The following is a 22,542-nucleotide window of genomic DNA, read 5'->3' on the forward strand; positions in this document are numbered from 1 at the left end:
TATTTATTTTTATGTATATCTATACATTTTCTTTAATAGTAGTGATTCTTTAAAATATTTTATTTCTAAAGAAAACACGCCCATAATTAAAAGATTAAAAAAAACTAGCGCATATAAGATAGCAAGAGTTCTCCCTACTCTCCCGTACCCAACAGCACCTATTTCAGTCCATAAAGGCAGATACTGTTAATAATTTACTTTACATTGCTGGAGAGGATGTGGAGAAATAGGAACACTTTTACACTGTTGGTGGGACTGTAAACTAGTTCAACCATTGTGGAAGACAGTGTGGTGATTCCTCAAGGATCTAGAACTAGAAATATCATTTGACCCAGCCATCCCATTACTGGGTATATACCCAAAGGATTATAAATCATGCTACTATAAAGACACATGCACACATATGTTTATTGCGGCACTATTCACAATAGCAAAAACTTGGAACCAACCCAAATGTTCATCAATGATAGTCTGGATTAAGAAAATGTGGCACATATACACCATGGAATACTATGTAGCCATAAAAAAGGATGCGTTCATATCCTTTGCAGGGACATGGATGAAGCTGGAAACCATCATTCTAAGCAAACTGTTGCAAGGAGAGAAAACTAAACACCGCATGTTCTCACTCATAGGTGGGAGTTGAACAATGAGAACACCTGGACACAGGGTGGGAAACATCACACACCAGGGCCTGTCGTGGGGTGGGGGGAGGGGGGAGAGATAGCATTAGGAGGTATACATAATGTAAATGACGAGCTAATGGGTGCAGCACACCAACATGGCACATGTACACATATGTAACAAACCTGCACGTTGTGCACATGTACCCTAGAACTTAAAGTATAATAAAAAAAAGTTACATTTACAGTTCTCTAGCCCATTTCTAATGTATATGCATAGCTAAGCATTTTTTTAAAAAATTGTATTATGACATACACAATGTCCATAATTTCCTTGAATTAACAAAACACAATACATCTTGGACATCTTCATATTTCAGTGTTTATAAGATCTTCCTTTTAAAATATATAGTGTTCCATTACATAGATGTATTGCAATTTTTTAATGAACGTTTATGTGGGTTCATTTGTTCTTTTGCTAAAAAGACCTTCAATCCTTTGAAAACTTTGTAAATATTCCTCTAGGATAAATTCCTACAGTGGAAATGATGAATCAAAGGCTAGGCACATTTCACAATTTCAAAAGACATTGCCAAAAGTTTATATCAATTAATATCCCAGAAATAATTTAGAAGGATACTAATTCTTTTCAGATTAATTCTGGTTTTACCAACATTTTCAATATTTAACCTATTCATTTCTAAGTTAGAAGCCTCTATAAAGAAATAGTGTCAGAAAGACAAAAAATCTTTCATGGTGTTTTCTCAATTAACAATGTACTTAGTGCTTTAATTTTGTGGAGAACTTTCATATTTATTATGCCACTAAATCTTCAAAATAATCCTTTGAAATAAATTTTTTGTCTTCTTATACAGGAACCAATTTAGGCATAAAAGGATAAATTACTTGTTCAAGATCACAAACATGCTAAGTGGTTATGTTGGGATTCAAACTCTGGCCACATAATGGAGGTCTGATAAAAATAGATATTTAAGTTCAGCTGTGTTATGTTCAGATAATTGATAAAGTTTTTGTGACTTAAGATTTTTTTCAACTATATATAACTCTATACTACCTTAAAATTTGTGATTTTTTTATTGAAATATATATTTAAAAATTATTTTCTTTTTAAATATTCTAGAAAGCTTAATAATATATAATATTAGTTTTTAGAGAAAAATGACTTTTAGAGTATAGATGTCCATTTTTTATGACAGCTAATGAATAAATAAGATAGGAAATACTAAAACTTTCTCTGCTGAAAGAGTGTTTTGGTTCAGAGGGATGTGGGTTAGAGCTCTGTTTCTGCTGCTTTCTGTCTGAATGACTTTAGGAAACTTACCCTCTCCAAGCAGTTTATACATCCATAACATAGAGATAAATTTATCTTGTATTGCTATTAGGAAGACTAAACAAGATCTTCTATGTGAAGTGCCTGGAATATAGTTGGCACTCAATACTGTTGCTGACATTATTATTGTAATTATTACTGTTGAGGCTGCTAATTTTAGAAGTAATTTTCAGAAATAAATACATTTGATAATAGTAGATATTTCCTTAAATATTCATGAACTCTGTCTTTCCTGTGTTACAGAAACCACTGTTTATATATCCATTAAGTTTTTTCATTTCTTTAGAATGTATGTAATTTATGTTATAATCATGACATATTAAAGCTGAAAGGGATCTCATATTAAAGCTTAGTTATACAGATAAAGACATTTAAGTCCAGGCCTATTAAGAAATTTGCCAAATCAGACTGATTCTTGGTGCCAGAATAAGAATTTGATTCCTGGTCTCTATTCTCTTCTATTTAGGTTTCAGTAATTTATTTCAAAAATTAGTGTTCACATTTAAAATATTTTAAAGTAATTTTTAAAATTATAAAGCAAACATTAAAAATTCCTTTGACATCACAGGTGATTGAATACATATTTCTTCTAACTTCACTGACATGAATCTCTGCCAGTTTTCCTGATGTGTGGACTTTTCCCCTTTATTATGCGTTCAGTTATTTTTAAGGAAAGATGCCCAGACTGCAATTCTGGTAATTGTGCCCGCTTCTTTAGTGAGACACAACTTAATTTATTTTGCATTTGTCATACATCCTGTCTCTGTGATATTATGGACACCTAAAAACCTTCATCCAGTAAAACTAGTTCAAATTAAAAACATTTCCATGCCTGCATGTAAGTTGTTACCATTTTATGGTTGACTAAACTTATTATCTTACGATCAATACAGTAACATAAGGAACTTAGAAAATAACATAGAAAATGAATGGTTTATGGAGGTAAGAAAGATTGGAGAGATGTTCCACCTTCATACTTTAAAGCATTGGTCCACTGCCAGTACACCACCAACTGCAGAATGAAGTAACAGACACACAAATGCCATCCTTGATTTGTATGGTGGTTGCCTGAAAAATAAACTAGCTTCTAACTTTAATTTAATAAAGAACATTTTAATCTCAAGCTAGTTAGACAGTTTTCCACTGACAATAGCTAAAAATCAATTTAAATATTTATTTACAAGTTGGTTATTTGTAACTTGGGTTATTTTCCCACAGAAGCAATGAGGGTGATTCTTGGTTTGACAACTGTCAGGAAAAAGCCTGGTATCCCATAAATACCTCTAATATTGTTCTCATATTATGTCAATATGAGTAGTATTGTTCCTATGGAAAATGCGCTTAACTTTTGAGGAAGAGTTACATCATTTTTAAAGCGTGTAAGTGGTGGGATTCAGAATTTCCTAATGTTTACTTGCTTTTTTTTAGCCATCTATTCATCTACTATTGGCAAGTTACAACCATCAGTAGCGAAGATATTGCCTTTCAAATTTAAATAGTTTGGAATTTTGGCTTATGTCTTTAAATATAAAAATGTAATTCAAAAGTTTGTATTTTCTGAATATACTCTCCCTCTAAATTTTGTTTCCCTGTAGGTTAAATAATTGTAATTACTACTCACACCTGGAATAATAAAGTGAGTTATAATGAAAGCAGTAAAGGACATATAATGTGAAGAAATAAACAAAAGATGAAAACTAGGTAGATAAAGAGAGAGGAGAAGAATGGAAAGATTATTATCAACTTCGCTCTTTCATACCATAGTGTATACGGGACCATCTCTGAGATTAAACCTTGTTGGTGAACTTACAAGTGTAAGGTTACTCGATGAAGTTCAAAGAGAAAGAGTTATTGGCCCCAGAGAGCAGTGGTGCCTGGAGCCACTTAAGCACTTATTTCTGTATGTTAACATTTTCTGCCTCAACTCTCCTATCTGCTGCTGCTGCTACTTCTGCCTATATTTCTGTCTCTTTTTTTACCCCCATGACTGGACTCAAATGAGAATGGGGCCAAATGGGGAGAAAGACCTTTCCTCCTGAACTAAGTTAGTTTGACGTTGGAGAAGGCCTCATAAAAAATACTTCTGGATTGTGATGAGAGAAAGTAAAAATGCCTGATTCACTCCATTATGCCTTTCCATTGAATCGTCATAAAAAATAAGATGTAAAGTTTTAAGAACAACGGAAAATGGGAATAATAATCAACTATTTGTTGAACCTGGGAAGAATTTCTACTCATCAAAGAATGTGGGCCATGAGGTAGGAAGGTGGTAAGTGAGTTACATTTCTCCCCTCCCCTCTGTTTCCTTTCCACTCAAAATATAGATTCATGGGGTTTTGACAGTGGGAAAGAGGGAATGACTGTGCTCTTAGAGCTGCATTATAAGGAGAGAAGGGCCAGTTCAGTTCCTTACCTCTTCCTCTCTCCTCACCAAAACGTTTTCTCTCCACCTCTTCCCTTTACTAAAAGACACAAGAGGGCATCTTGCTTGGGAATGTAAGAACTGGATTTTGTATCTCTGAGGTTAGCACTGAAGGGCTAGGCAGGAGTAAGAAGCTAAACTTATAAGGACCATGAAATTAGTTGTCCTGTGAGTTACAGTTTGCGATTTATCTTTTTAGCAAGGGAAGAAAGGATCATAGGTAATTTCATCCAAGAATAAATTCTGCTCTTTTTAGTAAGAGTCAGGCAGGGGTGCCAAGAGATTTCTCCTCCAGTTTGTATATTCACAAAACTTAATAAAGTATAACTGATACCTCATTGAGCAATGTTTACAACAACAAATTCTCCAGGTTTAGGTCTTAGAGGGATTCTAATATCTATCTGGGAATCTATAAAGGCAAACTATGCTGGTAGTACTGGATAGACAACAACTTTTTCAATAAAGGATTAACAAGTAAGAAAAGTACCCTATACATATATTCTGAAACTCATAAATACGACATTGCACTCTAGGTGCTGAGAAAAATTAACTTCAGAAAATAATTTCCCCAGGAGTCTAAAGAAAAATTCAAAAATCACCTGCTTTGAATCATTAACAAAATTAAAATATGAGTTTATGGAACAATATATAAAAATAATATATTAATATTAGAGAAAACAGAATGAGCTGAGAGGGAGTAAAAAAGGTAAGGAAAGGTGTGTAAAAACTAAGGGAAGTCCCCAAGGAATCTAAAGATTCAATAGCATTACTAATAACAGCATTAGAAGCAGTAAGGATAACTGGTATCACAGAAAATTGGGCTCATGATGTTGAAGAGAACTGAAGCTGAGAATACATCTGTAATGCAGAAGAAAATAATACAGAAGAGAAAAGGGAGAGATTCTGTTATATACAGAACAAATTAAACTTATATGCACCTTTAATATATTTGTTCCCATCAATATGTACATATTCATATATATTATGTGTAGATATGGTATATTTATGTATAAGTTACATAGCAAATGTAGCAGGATAGCATTTTCATATTATCAACATTATATATTTTTTACTTTTAGGCTTAGGGTCACATGTGCAGGATGTACAGGTTTGTTACAGAGGTAAATGTGGGTCATGGGGATTTGTTATAGAGATTATTTCATCACCCAGGTATTAAGCCTATTATCCATTAGTTATTCCCTCCTCCCATCCTCCATTCTGATAGGACCCAGTGTGTAAAGTTTTCATAACAATGGAAAATAAGACAACAAATAGTGTTGTTTCTATGTGTCCATGTGTTCTCATCATTTATCTCCCACTTATAAGTGAGAATATTCCATGCCATATTCATTAGAGAAATGCAAATCAAAACCACAATGAGATACCAACTCACACATTCAGAATGGCTATTAATAAAAGTCAAGAAACAGATACTGGCGAGGTTGCGATGAAAAAGGAAGGCTTTTACACTTGGTGGGAGTATAAATTAGTTCAAACATTGTGGAAGACAGTGTGGGGATTCTTCAAAGACCTAAAGACAGACAGAAATACCATTCAACCCAGCAATCCCATTACTGGGTACATACGCAAAGGAATATAAATAGGTTTTTTTTGTTTGTTTTTCCTGAGGCAGAGTCTCGCTTTCTTGACCAGGCTGGAGGGTGGTGACACAATTTCAGCTCACTGCAGCCTCTGCCTCCCAGGCTCATGATCCTCAGTTTCCTGAGTAGCTGGGACTACAGGCATGTACTAGCACACCAATTTTTTTATGTTTTGTAGAGACAGGGTTTCACCATGTTGCCCAGGCTGGTCTTGAACTCTTCGTCACAAGCAATCCACCTACCTCAGCCTTCCAAAGTGCAGAGATTACAGGTGTGAGCCACCACACCCGGCATCATGATATCTTTTAAAACTTTTAAAATTGAAATAAACCTACAAATAAGCAATGGATCATAATTGTGAAGCCTATTTAGATGCTACTCAGGTGAAGAAATCTTAAAAAATTACCAGTGATTGGCTGTGTCCCCACCCAAATCTCATCTTGAATTGTAGCTCCCACAATTCCCACGTGTTGTGGGAGGGACCCTGTGGGAGGTAATTGAATCATGGGGGCAGGTCTTTATCATGCTGTTCTCCTGATAGTGAATAAGTCTCACAAGATCTGACAGTTTTATAAGGGGGAGTTCCCCTACCAGCTCTCTTGACTGCCTCCATCCATGTAAGATGTGATTTTGCTCCTCATTCACCTTCTGCCATGATTGTGAGGCCTCCCCAGCCATATGGAACCATGCGCCAATTAAACCTCTTTCCTTTATAAATTACCCAGTCTCGGGTATGTCTTTATCAGCAGCATGAAAATGGACTAATACAACCATCATCCTGAAACCCCCTTGAGAACCTCCCGTTTTCTATTCTTTCACTTTTGCCCAAAGATCCACTCTTTTGACGTCAACACCATAGTATAATTTTTCCTGTTTTTGAGCTTTATGTAAAAATCATCATATGGTACACACTCTTTTGTTTCTAGCTTCTTTTACTCAATATAATGTCTGTGAGACTCATCCATCTGTGTATGCAGGTTTAGCCCATTCACTATGATTTCTAGACTGCACTGTATAAGCGTATCACCAAATAACTATTCATTCTTCGGTTTATGAACATTTGGGCTGTTGCCAATTTTTGGCTATTAGCATTCTCATAAATGTCTTTTGATGCACCTGTGAACACAGTTCTATGGGAGTGAAATTGTTAGGAAGCGTTACACATTCAAATTTAGCAGAATATGTCAATGCTAAAGTGGTTGCAATAATTTGCATTTCCATCACAAGTGTATCAGTTCCTGTGGCTCCTCAGCTTTGCCAACTTAGCATTTCCAATATTTTCATTGTTAGACATTCTGTTATGGTGTAGAATGGCATCCCACTGTGGCTTGAAGTTGCACTTCCATGAGGTCTAATGAGGTGAAGCAGCTTTAAAAATATTCCTTGGCTAAAGACAATCCTAAGCAAAAAGAATAAAACTGGAGGCATCACACTACCTGACTTCAAACTATACTACAAGGCTACAGTAACCAAAACAGCGTGGTACTGGTTCCAAAACAGAGATATAGACCAATGGAACAGAACAGTGGCCTCAGAAATAACGCCACACATCTAAAACCATCTGATCTTTGGCAAACCTGACAAAAACAAGCAATGGGGAAAGGATTCCTTATTTAATAAATGGTGCTGGGAAAACTGGCTAGCCATATGCAGAAAGCTGAAATTGGATCCCTTCCTTACACCTTATACAAAAATTAATTCAAGATTAATTAAAGACTTAGATGTTAGACCTAAAACCATAAAAACCCTAGAAGAAAACCTAGGTGATACCATTCAGGACATAGGCATGGGCAAGGACTTCATGACTAAAACACCAAAAGCAATGGCAACAAAAGCCAAAACAGACAAATGAGATCTAATTAAACTAAAGAGCTTCTGCACAGCAAAAGAAACTACCATCAGGGTGAACAGGCAACCTAAAGAATGGGAGAAAATTTTTTCAATCTACCCATCTGACAAAGGGCTAATATCCAGAATCTACAAAGAACTCAAACAAATTATCAAGAAAATAACAATCCCATCAAAAAGTGGGCAAAGGATATGAACAGACACTTCTCAAAAGAAGACATCTCTGCAGCCAACAGACACATAAAAAAATGCTCATCATCACTGGTCATCAGAGAAATGCAAATCAAAACCACAATGAGATGCCATCTCACACCAGTTAGAATGGTGATCATTAAAAAGTCAGGAAACAACAGATGCTGGAGAGGATGTGGAGAAATAGGAACGCGTTTACACTGTGGGTGGGAGTGTAAGTTGGTTCAACCATTGCGAAAGACAGTGTAGCGATTCCTCAAGGATCTAGAACTAGAATTATCATTTGACCCAGCAATCCCATTACTGGGTATATACTCAAAGGATTATAAATCATGCTGCTATAAAGACACATGCACACATATGTTTATTGCAGCACTGTTCACGATACCAAAGACTTGGAACCAACCCAAATGTCTGTCAATGATAGACTGGATAAAGAAAATGTGGCACATATATACCATGGAACACTATGCAGCCATAAAAAAGGATGAGTTCATGTCCTTTGTAGGGACATGGATCAAGCTGGAAACCATCATGCTCAGTGAACTATCTCAAGGACAGAAAACCAAACACTGCATGTTCTCACTCTTAGGTGGGAACTGAACAATGAGATCACTTGGACACAGCGGGAGGAACATCACACACTGGGGCTTGTCGTGGGGCAGGGGACGCGGGGAGGGATAGCCTTAGGATAAATACTGAATGTAAATGATGAGTTGATGGGTGCAGCAAACCAACATGGGACATGTATACCTATGTATCAAACTTGCATGTTGTGTAGGTTTGTGTGTACCCTAGAACTTAAAGTATAATAAAAAGAAAGAAAAAAAATACAAAAATTAAAAAATATGTATATTCCTTTACTGTTTGTCTATCATCTTGTGAAGTGCCTATTAAAGTATGTTGTCCATTTCTCCTCTTGAATTGTTTGCATTTGTCTTTTATTTATTTGTAAGAATTCTTTATATATTCTGCATATAATCCCTTTGTTGGTTAGATGTGTTGCAAAAATCTTTGCCCTTATGTACTCCAATTTATAAATATGTCTCTTTATAGCAATGCTTCTTTAATATCCTATTTTAAAAACATAATTTTCATGAATGTTACCTTATATTATGAATTTTGTTTTTTATCTCTTGTATTTACATCTACTAAAATTGAATTTTGTGTGTAATAGAAGAGGGATCATGTTTAATCATTCTTGCTGATAGATGGACAATTGACTCAGGCCATTTATTGAGAAGACCTCCCCTTCCCCACTGATCTTTTTAACAAATCCAGTGTCCATATATATATATACATATATATGTATATATATAAAATATATAATATAGGTATATATAATATATGTATATATAATATATAATATAGGTATATATAATATAGGTATATATAATATATGTATAATATATAATATAGGTATATATAATATATGTATATATAATATATAATATAGGTATATATAATATGTATTATATATACCTGTCCATCTATATATAATATACCATATTATATATATAGACACTGGATTTGTTATATATATATTCATGGGTCTGCTGATAGACCTATTCCCTTTCAGGAGTATACATATCTATTCTTTGCCAATATCACATGATCTTAATTGATATCTAGTAGGATATCTAGGAGGATAAGTCCTCCCATGTGACCTTCAAAGGTGCTTTGGCTAAGCTTGATTCTCTGCATTTCCTTATTAATTTTAAAAACAGGTAGTCACTGTCAACCAAATGTTGGTCGAATTTTGAATGGTATAGCATTGAATCTGTATTTCAATCTGAGGGATAATTGACATCTTTATAATAGTAAATCTTAATAATGTATTTTCTATTCCTGGTTATTCCTATTATTCAATGATCATTATTCCTTGCACTTCAATCCAGGCAGGAGCAAGATAATTCTATGGCCATTATTTCAGATAATACCAGACCAGAAAAGAGATCAAAAAGTTGTCAATTTTTGCTTTTGAAACTCATGACAGAGCTAACAGTCCTGCAAGAGAAGGTCTTTAAGTCACAAGAGAGTAAGCTTTTTTAAAACTTCAAAGTCTGAACACTAGAAGACTCAAGGCATCAAGTTGAAGCAAAAGACAATCTTCTGGCTAAGTAGATGAAGAGCCAGATTGCATTACATCCAGACTAATGAAGATTCCTATGCATGGGGGGAAAGGAAATCAGGGAAGAGCAGAAGGGCTCTGTTGTGGTGAATCCTTGAGAAGGGACTGTATGCTCTGCTGCAATTCCAAGAACAACTTCTCAGAGTGGAAATGAAACAATAGAATCCCAGGTGCATTTAACAATTCCATGGACAATACGATTTATGCATAACATGCAGGGTGGAACTCAGAGAAGCAGCAAGCCTTACAGAGTTCCCAATATTTAGCACTTCACAGGAGCAGAAGGAACAGGATTTCAAGGCATGAATGAATCCCTCACTCCTCATTCTCTGAAAGGAGCTTGGAAATAGAAAATTCCAGATCTGCAAGACCTTGGTTGTAAGCCAGGAAGAGTGAGTCTGTTGAGAAACACTAAATTGAGAATATTCAGTGAACACATAGTGGCTTGAAATATAATTGTATATCAAATGTAGAAAATTAAGAAAATATACGTGAGTTTTAAATATTGTAACAAGTTTAAATTTTATTATTATTTTAAAAGGTTTAGTTAACTAAAATTTACTTTGGGGTCCTATATTTATACCATGTCAGATATTCTTTGCTAAGCAGAAAAATGTCTTGTTCCTGAATGGGAATATAATACAGTAAACATGTCAACTTGCCCCAAATTAGTTTACTGTTTTGGAAAATCATATCATCCCTACTCTGCAGCTCATGGAAAAGTATATCTAAAATACATTGGAGAGGTAAATATAAAAGATAACACTGTAACATTATTAGAAAATCTGAGGCGTATTTATCTATTTTGAGGTTTGTAGATATAGCTTTTCAAGCAAAAATTTTAAAAAATAAAACAAAGTGACTGGTCTTATGACTACCTAAGAAATCTAAAACTTCTTGATATAAAAGTAAAATCTAAAAGTAAAACCTAAATTTTGATACACAGGTAAAATTTTTAAAAATATTGATATGAAAATAAAATTTACTATGTAACTAAGAGCTAAGGAAGCACCTGAAAATAAATATTTATAATATATGTCCAAATTGGAAAGGCAGGAAATAGATAAATACAAAATATTGAGTAAGGTGCTGAAAATATTCAATCTCATACTATTACTCTACTCATCAATACCACCAATAGTAGATAATACAAATGTTTTTGACAACCAGTTTGGAAATAGGTATGAAATGCCTTTAAAATATTTGTTTTGCTTGATCCCTTAAATATTCTAAGAATAAAGTCTAACAAAATAGAAGTTCACATTAAGATTGTGGTATTATGATCTTAATAGCAAAAATATAACAGCAACCTAAATATCCCACCTAAGTACCTGGTAGTAGACTAGCTGAATTCTTTATAGTGCATGTTAGTAGACTATATGCTGCCATTTAAAATTCACATTTTAAATAAATAATGATGTGGGAAAATGCTCTCAATACATGTGGGTGATAAAAAATAATATATTGATATACAATAGAGTATATAATCCCAATTTGTAAAACTATTTCTGTAGAAGTTATTTTATCTGCCCTCTATTTCTCAAAGCAGCTGATGTTCCCTCCTTCCTTGGTAAAGTATCTTCACTGGTATCAATACTTATGGAGAGCCAGCTGCTCCCTAGAATACCCACACTTTGTTTCACCTGTTGATTTTTATGTAGACTTAAGAGTCAAATGTTTGTTTTTATGCCATTAATACCATTTTTACTTGCTATTATAAAGTCTATTTACAAATTAAAATGTCTAGTAAGCTCTTACTGCTGAAAGGAGTTGTCTTGTGTAAAGTAAAGAGAATACTGTAGAAAAAGTTAATAAATTTGAGTAGCTAAGAGAATTTGCTGAAATTATATGCAGACAAGGTAACTGTGAAACACCAGGGAAAATGATCAAAATCCAGAATTCTGTGTGGAGATTTCTTTAAGTGTCTTTATATTATTGTTCTAATTTCAGAAAAAACAATCTGGAAAACATTTATGGGCCATTAGGAATATGATTTATATTATAAAGATGACATGGACATCCCATGAGAAGACCTGAAATCAGAAAAAAAAGCTTAGTCCTACATAAAAAAAATAGCAAAGAAATGATTATGTATAAATTAAGTTAAACTTACATATTACATATATATAAGTTCCAAACACTCTGCACCTTATAAAATCTTTTCTGATTAACCAAAAGATTGCTGGCTATCCAACAAGAGGGCTTCTACTGCACATGGTTGTATTATAAAAAAAAAAAAAAATTGGTAGTTTCAACACCAAAATTCATTAGAGTTTGTCTCTTCATAGTCATCATGAGTTGTCTTTCCTTCAAATATTTATTTTCCAATCTCTTAAGAGTATGAATTACTTTAACAACAATTTAAAAGTTACTTGAAATAGGAAAGAACCCCTTCAACTTTCATCCCCCAACCCTGCCCCCACACACAAAAAAGTTGTCATTCGCCTGTCCTTTGGGAATATCTTATCAGTGGTCCCTATAGAGATTGTGGTTATTGTTGTTTGTTGCTTCATCAAAGCAACAGATTATTAAAGCTGAAGATGATCTCCAGTGTCTGGCCCTGTGTAATTGCAAAAACATCACTTTATGTGACTATTTCAGCATCAAGATTTGAGGTTGAGGAACTTGTTGGGGAAGATTATGCAGTTATTTTGAAGTGCTTGCTTCTGCAGCTTTGGTCCATCATTGCAATGTATGATGGCTGAATGGACATAATGCAAAGCTATCTACTCTGGGTCCTCATGGACACAGCCCAAGATGGCACCACCCATCCTAAGGTTTTCAGGTCTACCAACTACGCAAAGCTCATGATAAAAACCAAGGGTACATCATAGCAGACAAATGTACTTAGGGTCCCAATCAGTGTTTAGAACCAGTGTGTGAATGAATATCTTTGTCTAGGATCAACAACTGTCACAGTGGGTGCTTCCAGTCCCTGTTCCAGCACTCCAGGTATGCTCGGCTGCCAGGTCACCCACGGACTTTATTATATATACATGTTTTTCACTCTGCACATGACCGCTAATCTTTTGCCTGGAACATAGTAACTCAGTAAATAGTATGTTTCCCTTTAGAAGATTGTAATAGGGGTGCATGTGAAAACAATACATTTGGTTTAGATAATAAACTACATGACAGTGGACTCTGTGCCTTTTTTCTGTATAACTTCTTTGGACTAAACACAGCTTGCATCATGTTGGAAGTAAAAGCTAGTTAGTGTGCTAGTGAAGTGTCTTCCATTTTGCATAAGTGCTTCATGTCTATAGTGTAACATTACATGATGGCATATTCTTTCAAATTATATTTACATATATTCCCAAACCTAAAATCTCTAATTTGCTTTTCTGTTCTAATGCCTTTTTTCCTTCTGAAGTCCATAGTATTAAAAAATACTTATTCTTTGAGAAGATACTGAGTTTTTGCTTAGGGTCATACATAAAGGAGGTTGATTTAAATAATCATAGGAGTTAAATTGCATCTGTCAGGGAGTTCTACATTTTTGGCAGTTATAGGCTGCCTTTATTCAGTTTAATGATGAAGATTTGACTTTGCTGGATTTTTTTCTTCTTAGTAAAATGAATGGTGCATCTTTCTTTAATTGTGATCCTCATCAACCATTTGGCCCAGTAATGGTATGCAAATTAAACCCTTTAAAAATTAATGCCAACATTTATTAAATAATGCATCACACAAAAAGTTAATTTGAAATTCCAAGTTAGGCTTCCTGTCTGCTCATGAGAAAGTGTTTTTGTGTGTGTGTGCCATCTTCATAAAACATCTTTATAGTCTTTCTAAATACCTTGAATGTTTTTTAGTATTTTGCAAATTATCAGAGACTGTTCATGGGTACAGGATATGCTTTTCAGTTTTAATTTGTATAAACTCTCAGGTTTTGAATTTATATCACTGCTTTGACCTTCTAAACTTACAAGTGCTCATGGATGTTTCTTTATCAAAATTTAAAGACAAGTCTAATTAAGGACTATATATACTTGAATGATACAAGCCTACATTCACTTTTGATTCTAAAAAAATCAAAATGTATATCACGTGCTAGTTTGGCAATTGTAAACCTTAGGTAACATCCTCATCCAGACAACAGTGTGTACTGGCATTCAGCCTGGTGCATTAGTGATTTTGTAAATTTGATTTGGGAAATTTAAGGGAGATTTTGAAGATGATCAGTATAATCTGAGAAGAATGAGCCATCTTAGAAGGCAGCTATGTATATTGCTATAACAAGAATGCTGGAATGTGACTGCTGGGGTTTGAATACCAGCCCTTGGTACTTTTGGTCCTAGACAAACTCCTTATCCTCTCGGGTCTCAGTTTCTTTATCTGTGAAACTAACAGCAATAAGTGTACTTATAGGACTGTTATGAAGCTTAAAATACACAATAAATATAAAATACTTCTAACAGTCCCTGATTCATAGTAAGCACACAATACCTGTTAGTGCATTATTATTACCTTGAACACTTTCCTCTGACTTAGATTGTAAGAAGATTAGATTCTAAGAAGATTTTAGCTACACTACTTAAATGAGTATTCAAAGAGTTTAACAATACTTTAGGTTTGACTTGCTACTGCAAGAGGAGGAATCGGATATCTTTTTGCATTGTTTATAAAAATGAAATTTGGAAAAGAATGTAGAATTTTTCATTATAGCTGTTGCTGTTCCTTCCATCCGATGTGAATTACTGAAAAAGAGCTTTCCCATGTATGTTTTTATTTCAACAAACATGCATTTAACACCCAACATATGCAAGGCTTTGAGCTGACATTAGGAAGGGAAACATAAGAAGATGAAATACGGTTCTTATCCTCAAAGAGTTAGCCCTACAGTTAACAATAGAGATCCCAAAAATATCAAAAAGTTAATCATGACATAGAAAATAAAAAGGCATTTCAATAATTTATAATAAAGAAAAAGATCTACCATAAGAAAGGATACAATTAAGCATCTATAGGGTGATAGGAACAATACATGCAAGTTTCTCTCGTGTTTTTTATTTATAAGCTTGTTTCTATAAAATGTGAGCTAAGTATTTAAAGAAGAGGAAAATCCTTGTGGTTGGGTTAGTCTTGGACAGCTTTATGAGGAAAGTGTGCTTCAGAAAGATCTTGAAGATTGAGTTCCAGTTGAGCTTAATCTCGTAGGCTGTCTCATAGGTATTAATAAGGTATGTATATACTGGAGGTGGGTATAGTTTAGGATCTCACAGGATGACATCATGCTTAGTTGCAGTTCAGATCAACCCTGAAGTAAGCTTACTGAGATTTCATCAAGAACCAAATGGAATTAGATATCATCATACATCATATCATTTTGATAGTTCTATGTTTATTGAGGATCCAGTCAATATCTGGGGGGGAAATGAATATAAAGAAAGAGGTGCATTCATTGTTAGTTACTGGCCTCCAGTTGCTCACAACACATGTAACAAATATTTGTTATGCTTTATGATACATGTCAAGAAGAGAGTAAGCCAGGGGTGTGATGGATCTGAGGAGTGGACAAGAGGCTGTGACAGGGGAGGCTTCAGAAAGGAGCCAGCATTTTCTGTTCTATGAATTCCTGAGTGGAAGCCAAATTCAATTTTTAATTTTAGGTCAATTCAAAGTGCTTCACAACTTTTTCCTTTCCACCAAATCTAAAGCTATGATCTGTGAGTAAAAATTGCTAAGATAAGTATCAATCAGCTAAGAGTCTGTGGGACAATCACTCTTTTTGACTGGCACTTTGGTGTCATTAGAGTTTGTTTCAAAAATGGATTTGGGGTTTAGATATCTGAGTTAGTCGAAAAACACTTTAAATCACAAATAAAGAGAGTGTCCCAAACTAGTAGTGGATTTAAGCAAAAGGTGTTTCTCATTATATCTAATAGAGATTTTCTTCAATTGTTCATTTATTCTTTTATTTTTTCAATCATTTATGCACATACCTAGGCTCTGTACAATTTTTTGGCTGATTTAGTAATGAACAAGCACCATATATTTTTTCATGAATTGTAAGAATCTAGAATTTTTTTACATAGTTGTACCACAGAATTGCCAGTCTATTGAGTGATAAGACTAATTGTCATATAGGCAGGGATATTGCCATTGCAGTAGAGTATTGGATGAAGAGGCATCTTACAATAAGGCAAATTTTGAAGTACAATCTAATTTGTCATAAATGGAATGAATTCAATTAAGACAACATATCAACATAAGTAAGCCACAAGCCCTTAAACTTGAGGACAGCACAGTCTAAATTCAAATGGTGACCAGAACATTTATTAGAATATTATATTGAGATTAAGTCACTGTGATTTTTAATTGATGGTTAAGAAATTGGGGGATTTTTAAGAATACTACTTACTATTACACTATCACCACTAATAATGACTGCCATTTTTTGGTTCTCTTATGTATGTTATTGAGCCAAGGGCTTTACATTTAAGACATTTTTGTTCCCTACAAGATGTGCATAAGTATGTGTAATGGAAATGGGAGGAGTTTTCCCTTATCCGTCTCGCAGGGCGTGTGTCAGGGCCGTGGCTCATTTCTTTGGTGCCCAGGAGCTCAAACCCCTAGGGGGAGCATGCAGGCGGGCAGGTCGTGGGGAGCCTAGGCTCTGGCCCTGTGGCAGCAGCAGTGTCCAGGGATGAGTGTTTATGGCTCCTGAAGCCCCATTGGGCGTGTGTTACAGTGTACTCATTCAGCTTAGTTGTCTGCAGGTGGCTTATGTTAATCAGCTCAGTTAGACCCTCTGCTTTATGGCAAGGACAGAAAGCTTTCTGTATCCCATGGTTCTTGCCCTAGTGTACTAGGAAAAATCGGATCACGAGTGGGCTTGGAAAATGAGTGCAAGGTTTTATTGAGTGGTGGAAATAGCTCTCAGCAGATGGATGGGGAGCCAGAAGGGGGATGAAGTGGGAAGGTTTTCTTCCCCTGGTGTCGGGCTGCTCAGTGACCAGGCTCTCCTCCAAACGCCATTGGCTGAACTTCCTTGGCGTCCATATCATTCAGTGGCTGATGATCTGCCGGTGTCTGTCGGTGTGTTCTTCTGCTGGTGTACTCCTCTTGACGTCCACCCACTTGTATGTGTGCCCGCTAGGGTCTCAGGGTTTTTATAGCACAGAATGCGGGGCGTGGTGGGCCAGAATGTTCTTGGAAAATGCAACATTTTGACGTGAAAACAGGAGTGCCTATCCTCACCTAGGTCCATGGGCACAGGTCCGAGGGTGGAGCCTTAGCCAGGGACCCCATGTTTCTCCTCCCAGCACTTCCCTGCCCCCTCCCATATCACAATCATCTCTATTTGCAAAGGAAGAAACTAAGGCTGAGTAATATTGAATGATTTGCTATACGTCAGAAAGGGGTCAATAAGTGACAGAGCCTATACAGGTTGGGTATTCCTAATCCAAAAAATCCAAATTCTGAAATGCTGCAAAATCCAAAAGTTTTCTAATTTTATTTTTTAAATTGGTAATAATTATATGTACTCATCAGATGATGTTTTAATACATATGATGTCAAAATGCTTTGGCTGTGTCCACACCCAAATTTCATCTCAAATTGTAATCCAAATTGTAATCCCCATGTGTCAAGGGAGGGACCTAGTGGGAGGTGATTGGATCATGGGGGCGGTTTCCCCCATGCTGTTTTCGTGATAGTGGGTGAGTTCTCATGAGATCTGATTGTTTGATAAGTGTCTGGCACTTTCCCCTTCTCTCACTCATTTGCCTGCTGCTTTGTAAGATGTGCCTTGCTTCCCCTTCACCTTCCACCATGATTGTAAGTTTCCTGAGGCCTCCCTGGCCATGCAAGACTGTGAGCCAATTAAACCTCTTTTTCTTTATAAATTACCCAGACTTTATAGCCATGTGAAAACAGACGAATACAAATGTGTAGTGATTGGATCAGGGTAACTACTATATCCAACATCTGAAACATTTGTCATTTCTTTGTGTTGGGAAAGTTCCATATCCTCCTTCTAGCTATTTGAAACTAGTATGTTTTTGTTAATTAACTACAGTCATCCTACAGAAGTATAGAATAGTATAACTTATTTCTCCTATCTAGCTGTAATTTTGTATCCTTTAACAAATCTCCCCTTTTCTCTCATTTCCCCCACTCTTCTCAGCCTCTACTTCCTCTATTCTGGTTTTTACTTACATGAGATCAACAACTTTTTATTTCCTGCCTATGAATGAGAACATGCAATTTTTAACTTTCCCCTCCTGGGTTATTTCACTTAACATAATGTCCTCCAGTTCTATCCATGTTGCCACATTTAACAGAATTTCATTCTTTTTTATGGTTGAATAGTATTTCATGGTGCATATATACCACATTTTTAAATCCATTCATCTGTTGTTAGATACCTTGGTTGATTCCATATCTAGGCTATTATTAATTGTTCTTCAATAAGCATGAGGTGAAGATGTATGTCTCTTTGATATGATTTATCCAAAGGAAAGGAAACTCAAAACTTTTTGAGCACCAACATGATACTCAAAATACTCATTGGAGCATTTCAGATTTCAGATTATTGGAAAAGAGATGCTCAACCAGTAAAATCAACCAGTAAATATTCAAAAATCAAAAAAAAATCCAAACACTTCTGCTCCTAAGCACTTAGGATAAGGGATAATCAATGTGTATTGTATTCGATTTCTATCTTACAGGTGTCTAATAAAACACCAGATAATTGTTCAATGACAAACAATTAAAAATAACAATTGATCAAGTTATTTTTATTTTTTAACTACAGTTAAACCAGTTCGCTAAAGTTCTATGAAATATCTGCCATGACATGAATCTAGTGCTTCCTGGGTCATTTTAACGGAATCTCACTCATGCATTTAAATCAAGAACAAAAACAAAACTTTTTTTCTGATTCAAAGCATTTCATTAAGGAGACACAGAACTCACTTTTCTTTTCTTCAACTACTCTTACTAATCTTTTCTGCTCTTTTAAACATGTTTTCAAAGCCTTTTACTAACTTCCACCTTCAAGTTGCAGCCTCTGCCAAGAAATAACACTTCTGCCCATCTCTGTCAACTACCTCCCTCCCATCATTCAACTGGGCTCTCAGATAGGACCCGTTCTAAAAGATCTTCTCTGCCTAATTTAAAGAATGGTAGGGTTTATGTAATAATCATTAGCCATACATCCCCTAGCACTAATTTATACATTTGTTTTACAAATATATTTCATATTTTTCTGCCCCAGTGTTTTATATTTTGATTCTGTTAAAACATGGAAAGGCTTGTTTGGTAGTTTCCATAAGAATCATGTATACTGAAGTTCTTACCTTCAGTGATCATCAGCAACTGAGCTATCAAGAAGACCATGTAAATATAGATAAAAAGCAGCCCTCTCAAACAAACCCTTAGACACTGCTTAAAATTCAGTGCCTTAAGGCTGTTAGGAAGTAGGGATTGGAGAGTAAACTGGTAGAACTATTTTATTTATAAATACTTTTATCCAAGATTCCCTACAAAACAGAGCGTGAGTCAAGAATTAAGAGGTGATGCTTTATTTAGGAAGTGCAATTCTAAGACATGGAAAATGAGAAAAGATAAAGTAAAGTAGGTAAGGATGAGAAGCAATGCAAAGTGATGTGTTACGTCACTGGCCATTGCTTTATAAAAACCCTAAAAGAGACAAAGATGGTTGCTTGGGAGGTATACCTTCTTGGCCACAAAGACCATCTCTGATCAGACTGCGTGATGAAACTGCCTCAGAACAGAAAGTGAGAGGGAACAAGAGGGTATTTATCTGTTTTGATGTCAACATTTCCTATCTCTTCTTTCTCCTTGGCCAAATTTCATCTATTGGAGCACCCCACCCCCAACACCAATCCTCAGTGGGGTGCTGCATTCCAGTCTGGAGGTGATGAGAGGGACTCAGGACTTGTGGCTGGTCAGGCATGTTGGCTCCAGATGATAGGACTATCATGAGCAGAGTTGAATGGTTGCAACTGCGTCAGATCAAGTGACTGAGAATGAAAAGAATCTGAGGAACATGAGCAATGGGGTATCACGTTTACTTCCTATTTATTATGTGTCAAGCACTGCAGAGCACTTAGCTTGCCTTATCTCTTTTGATCTATTGTTATTCCCATTGTACAATGATGTAGTCAAACCCTAATAGGATTACTCATCCTCAGATTTTAAACCAAGCAGTTATTATTAGCCTTACTAGAGGGCAACATTTTTTCCTTCACTCTCCTCCACCTTCCACCCTTCGTCTTTTTCCCTCCCTCCCTTCATCCTTTCCTTCCTTCACTCTTTCCTTTTTTCCTTTTTCTATCCCCCCCACTTCTATCTTCCTTCATTCCTCCTCTCTCAAAGCTTTCTTTGTTTTTTTCTTTCTCCCTTTCTGATTTTTAGTTCCTCTCCCTTTCTTCCTTCTTTTCTTCTTCCCTCCTTTTAACTCCTCCCTCCCTTCCTTCCTTTCTTCAATAAATATTTTTTATCTACTATGTTCTAGAAACTGGTCTAATTGATAAGAATACACAGTCAACATGGCCCTTGCTCTCTTGTTTCTTAAAATCAAGCTGGGAATGGAGAGGGAAGCACACAATTAAAAATAAACAAATAGTCAGAATATTTTCACATCATGATCTGTACTATAAAGACAGTGAGACAGGATATGGGAGGGTGACAGCAAGTTTAAAAAAAGAGTAGCATGAGGGAAGATGCTTCTCTAAATGATGTGTTCAGTACAGTTATTTCTATAAGGAGGTGACATTTGACCTGATATATGACTGATGATAAGCAGTGAGAGACAGGTCAATGTAGCTGCTAAGTAAAGAGTAGACTGTAGGAGAGGCTACTTATGAGGCTAAGGGATGATCCAGGACAAAGGGAATAGTGGGTTGGATTAGGACGGTTGCATAGAGGTTGACAGAAGTGGGTAGACACAGTATCATGCTGGGAAATAGAACCAAAGGGAGGTCTCAATGATGGCACCCAGGCTTTTGATGTCAGCCATCAGGTGAATGATAGTTTCATTTACCGAGATGAAGAAGACAAAGGGAAGTATACATCTGGAGTGGAGGCAAAAACTTATATTTTGCATGTGTTAGGCTTGAGGTGTCTGTTAGCCATACAAATAGAGGCATCAGGGAAACCTGAATATAAAAGCCTGGGTTTAGGAGAGAGATATGGACCAATGATAAAATGTGGGGAGTCATTGGCAGGTAGATGGTATTGGTAGCCATATTTTATTTAAGCATACTGATTTTAACAAATAACTGACTAACACATGCTTTCCTGGGACTTCTCTTTTTTATTTTACTCTGTATTTTCACTCTTAAATATAATGAAAAGTAGTTGCACATCCTAGTAAAGATAACTTTATAATACTTTGTTACAGTTTAATAGCCTTAAAATATGACTTACCTTGTTTGGTTTTAGTATTCAATTTATAAATGTATATGCTTTATTATGCTTTAAATTTGTAAACCAAAGCCATAAGAAAAGCAAACTCTTCTCTCTAGTGGATTAGAGTGGTAAGCATCAATGTAAACTAATAACATATCCATGTATATTCATAGAAGTTTTTTTAACCTATAAAAATGTACAAATCTAATTAACAAGCAGCAGAATACTAACAGGAACACTTGGAAAATGATCAAGTGGTGTTTGTATTTTAAGTGATAGAAGGTGGAGATAATGGAAAAGAATGAACTAACTTATGCTCCTGGCATGACTTTGTTTGGTGAAAGCAACTGTCTTTGGAGTAATTTGGAAAGCAATGTGAGATGCTACAAATGCATTATGGAATCCATCTTTGGATACTTGGTTTATGACAAGGCCAAAGGAATGCTGCAGAAAACAATATTGTCTTTTATGCTACTAAATATTTCCTATTCTTAAAGCTAAGAAAAGAGCTAGTTTCTAGTAAATATTCACAGAGGCATCACTACGATAGTTTCCCAAAGGCTCGTGTGAATTTGAAAGCACTGGCTGTTTAAGGAAACAGTGACTGTGTCATGTTTCTGCACTATGCTTGCCTCTCTATGAACAGAACACTCTTGACTTCTAAAACACATGGAAAGCAGCGAATTCAGTATCCAAATGTTAAATCCTATTTTATATGCTACTATATAAAGTGCATTTAGACCAGGAGTCAATAAAGAAGGAGGAAAAATTCCCCTCTGTTATTTGAGAAGATGGGTTTAGGATTCATGATAGAGGATAAAATTTCAAACATTTTCAATGAAGAGGCAGAGGGCTGATCTGCTGTGAGCTGTCATGTATTCCCAGTATTTGGTCAGGATGCATGGAAGCAACAAGGTGTGAGCTCTCACATCATACCCCCAGGACTTCCGTCCTTCACTCTGCTTCTTTGTGTAATACAGTGAGCAGCTAAA

At 35.6% G+C, this 22,542-nt stretch overlaps 1 annotated feature.

Moving 5' to 3' along the window:
- Positions 19,292–20,491: an enhancer, noted in NCBI's record as "P300/CBP strongly-dependent group 1 enhancer chr8:106081351-106082550 (GRCh37/hg19 assembly coordinates)". NCBI's record gives its function as "activates an origin of replication core promoter dependent on BRD2, BRD4, P300/CBP, MED14 and CDK7 cofactors, with strong dependence on P300/CBP, by STARR-seq in HCT116 cells {active_cell/tissue: HCT116}" and the evidence as "EXISTENCE:reporter gene assay evidence [ECO:0000049][PMID:35650434]".

Source organism: Homo sapiens, chromosome 8 (assembly GCF_000001405.40).
Source record: "Homo sapiens chromosome 8, GRCh38.p14 Primary Assembly".
Lineage (NCBI taxonomy): Eukaryota > Metazoa > Chordata > Mammalia > Primates > Hominidae > Homo > Homo sapiens.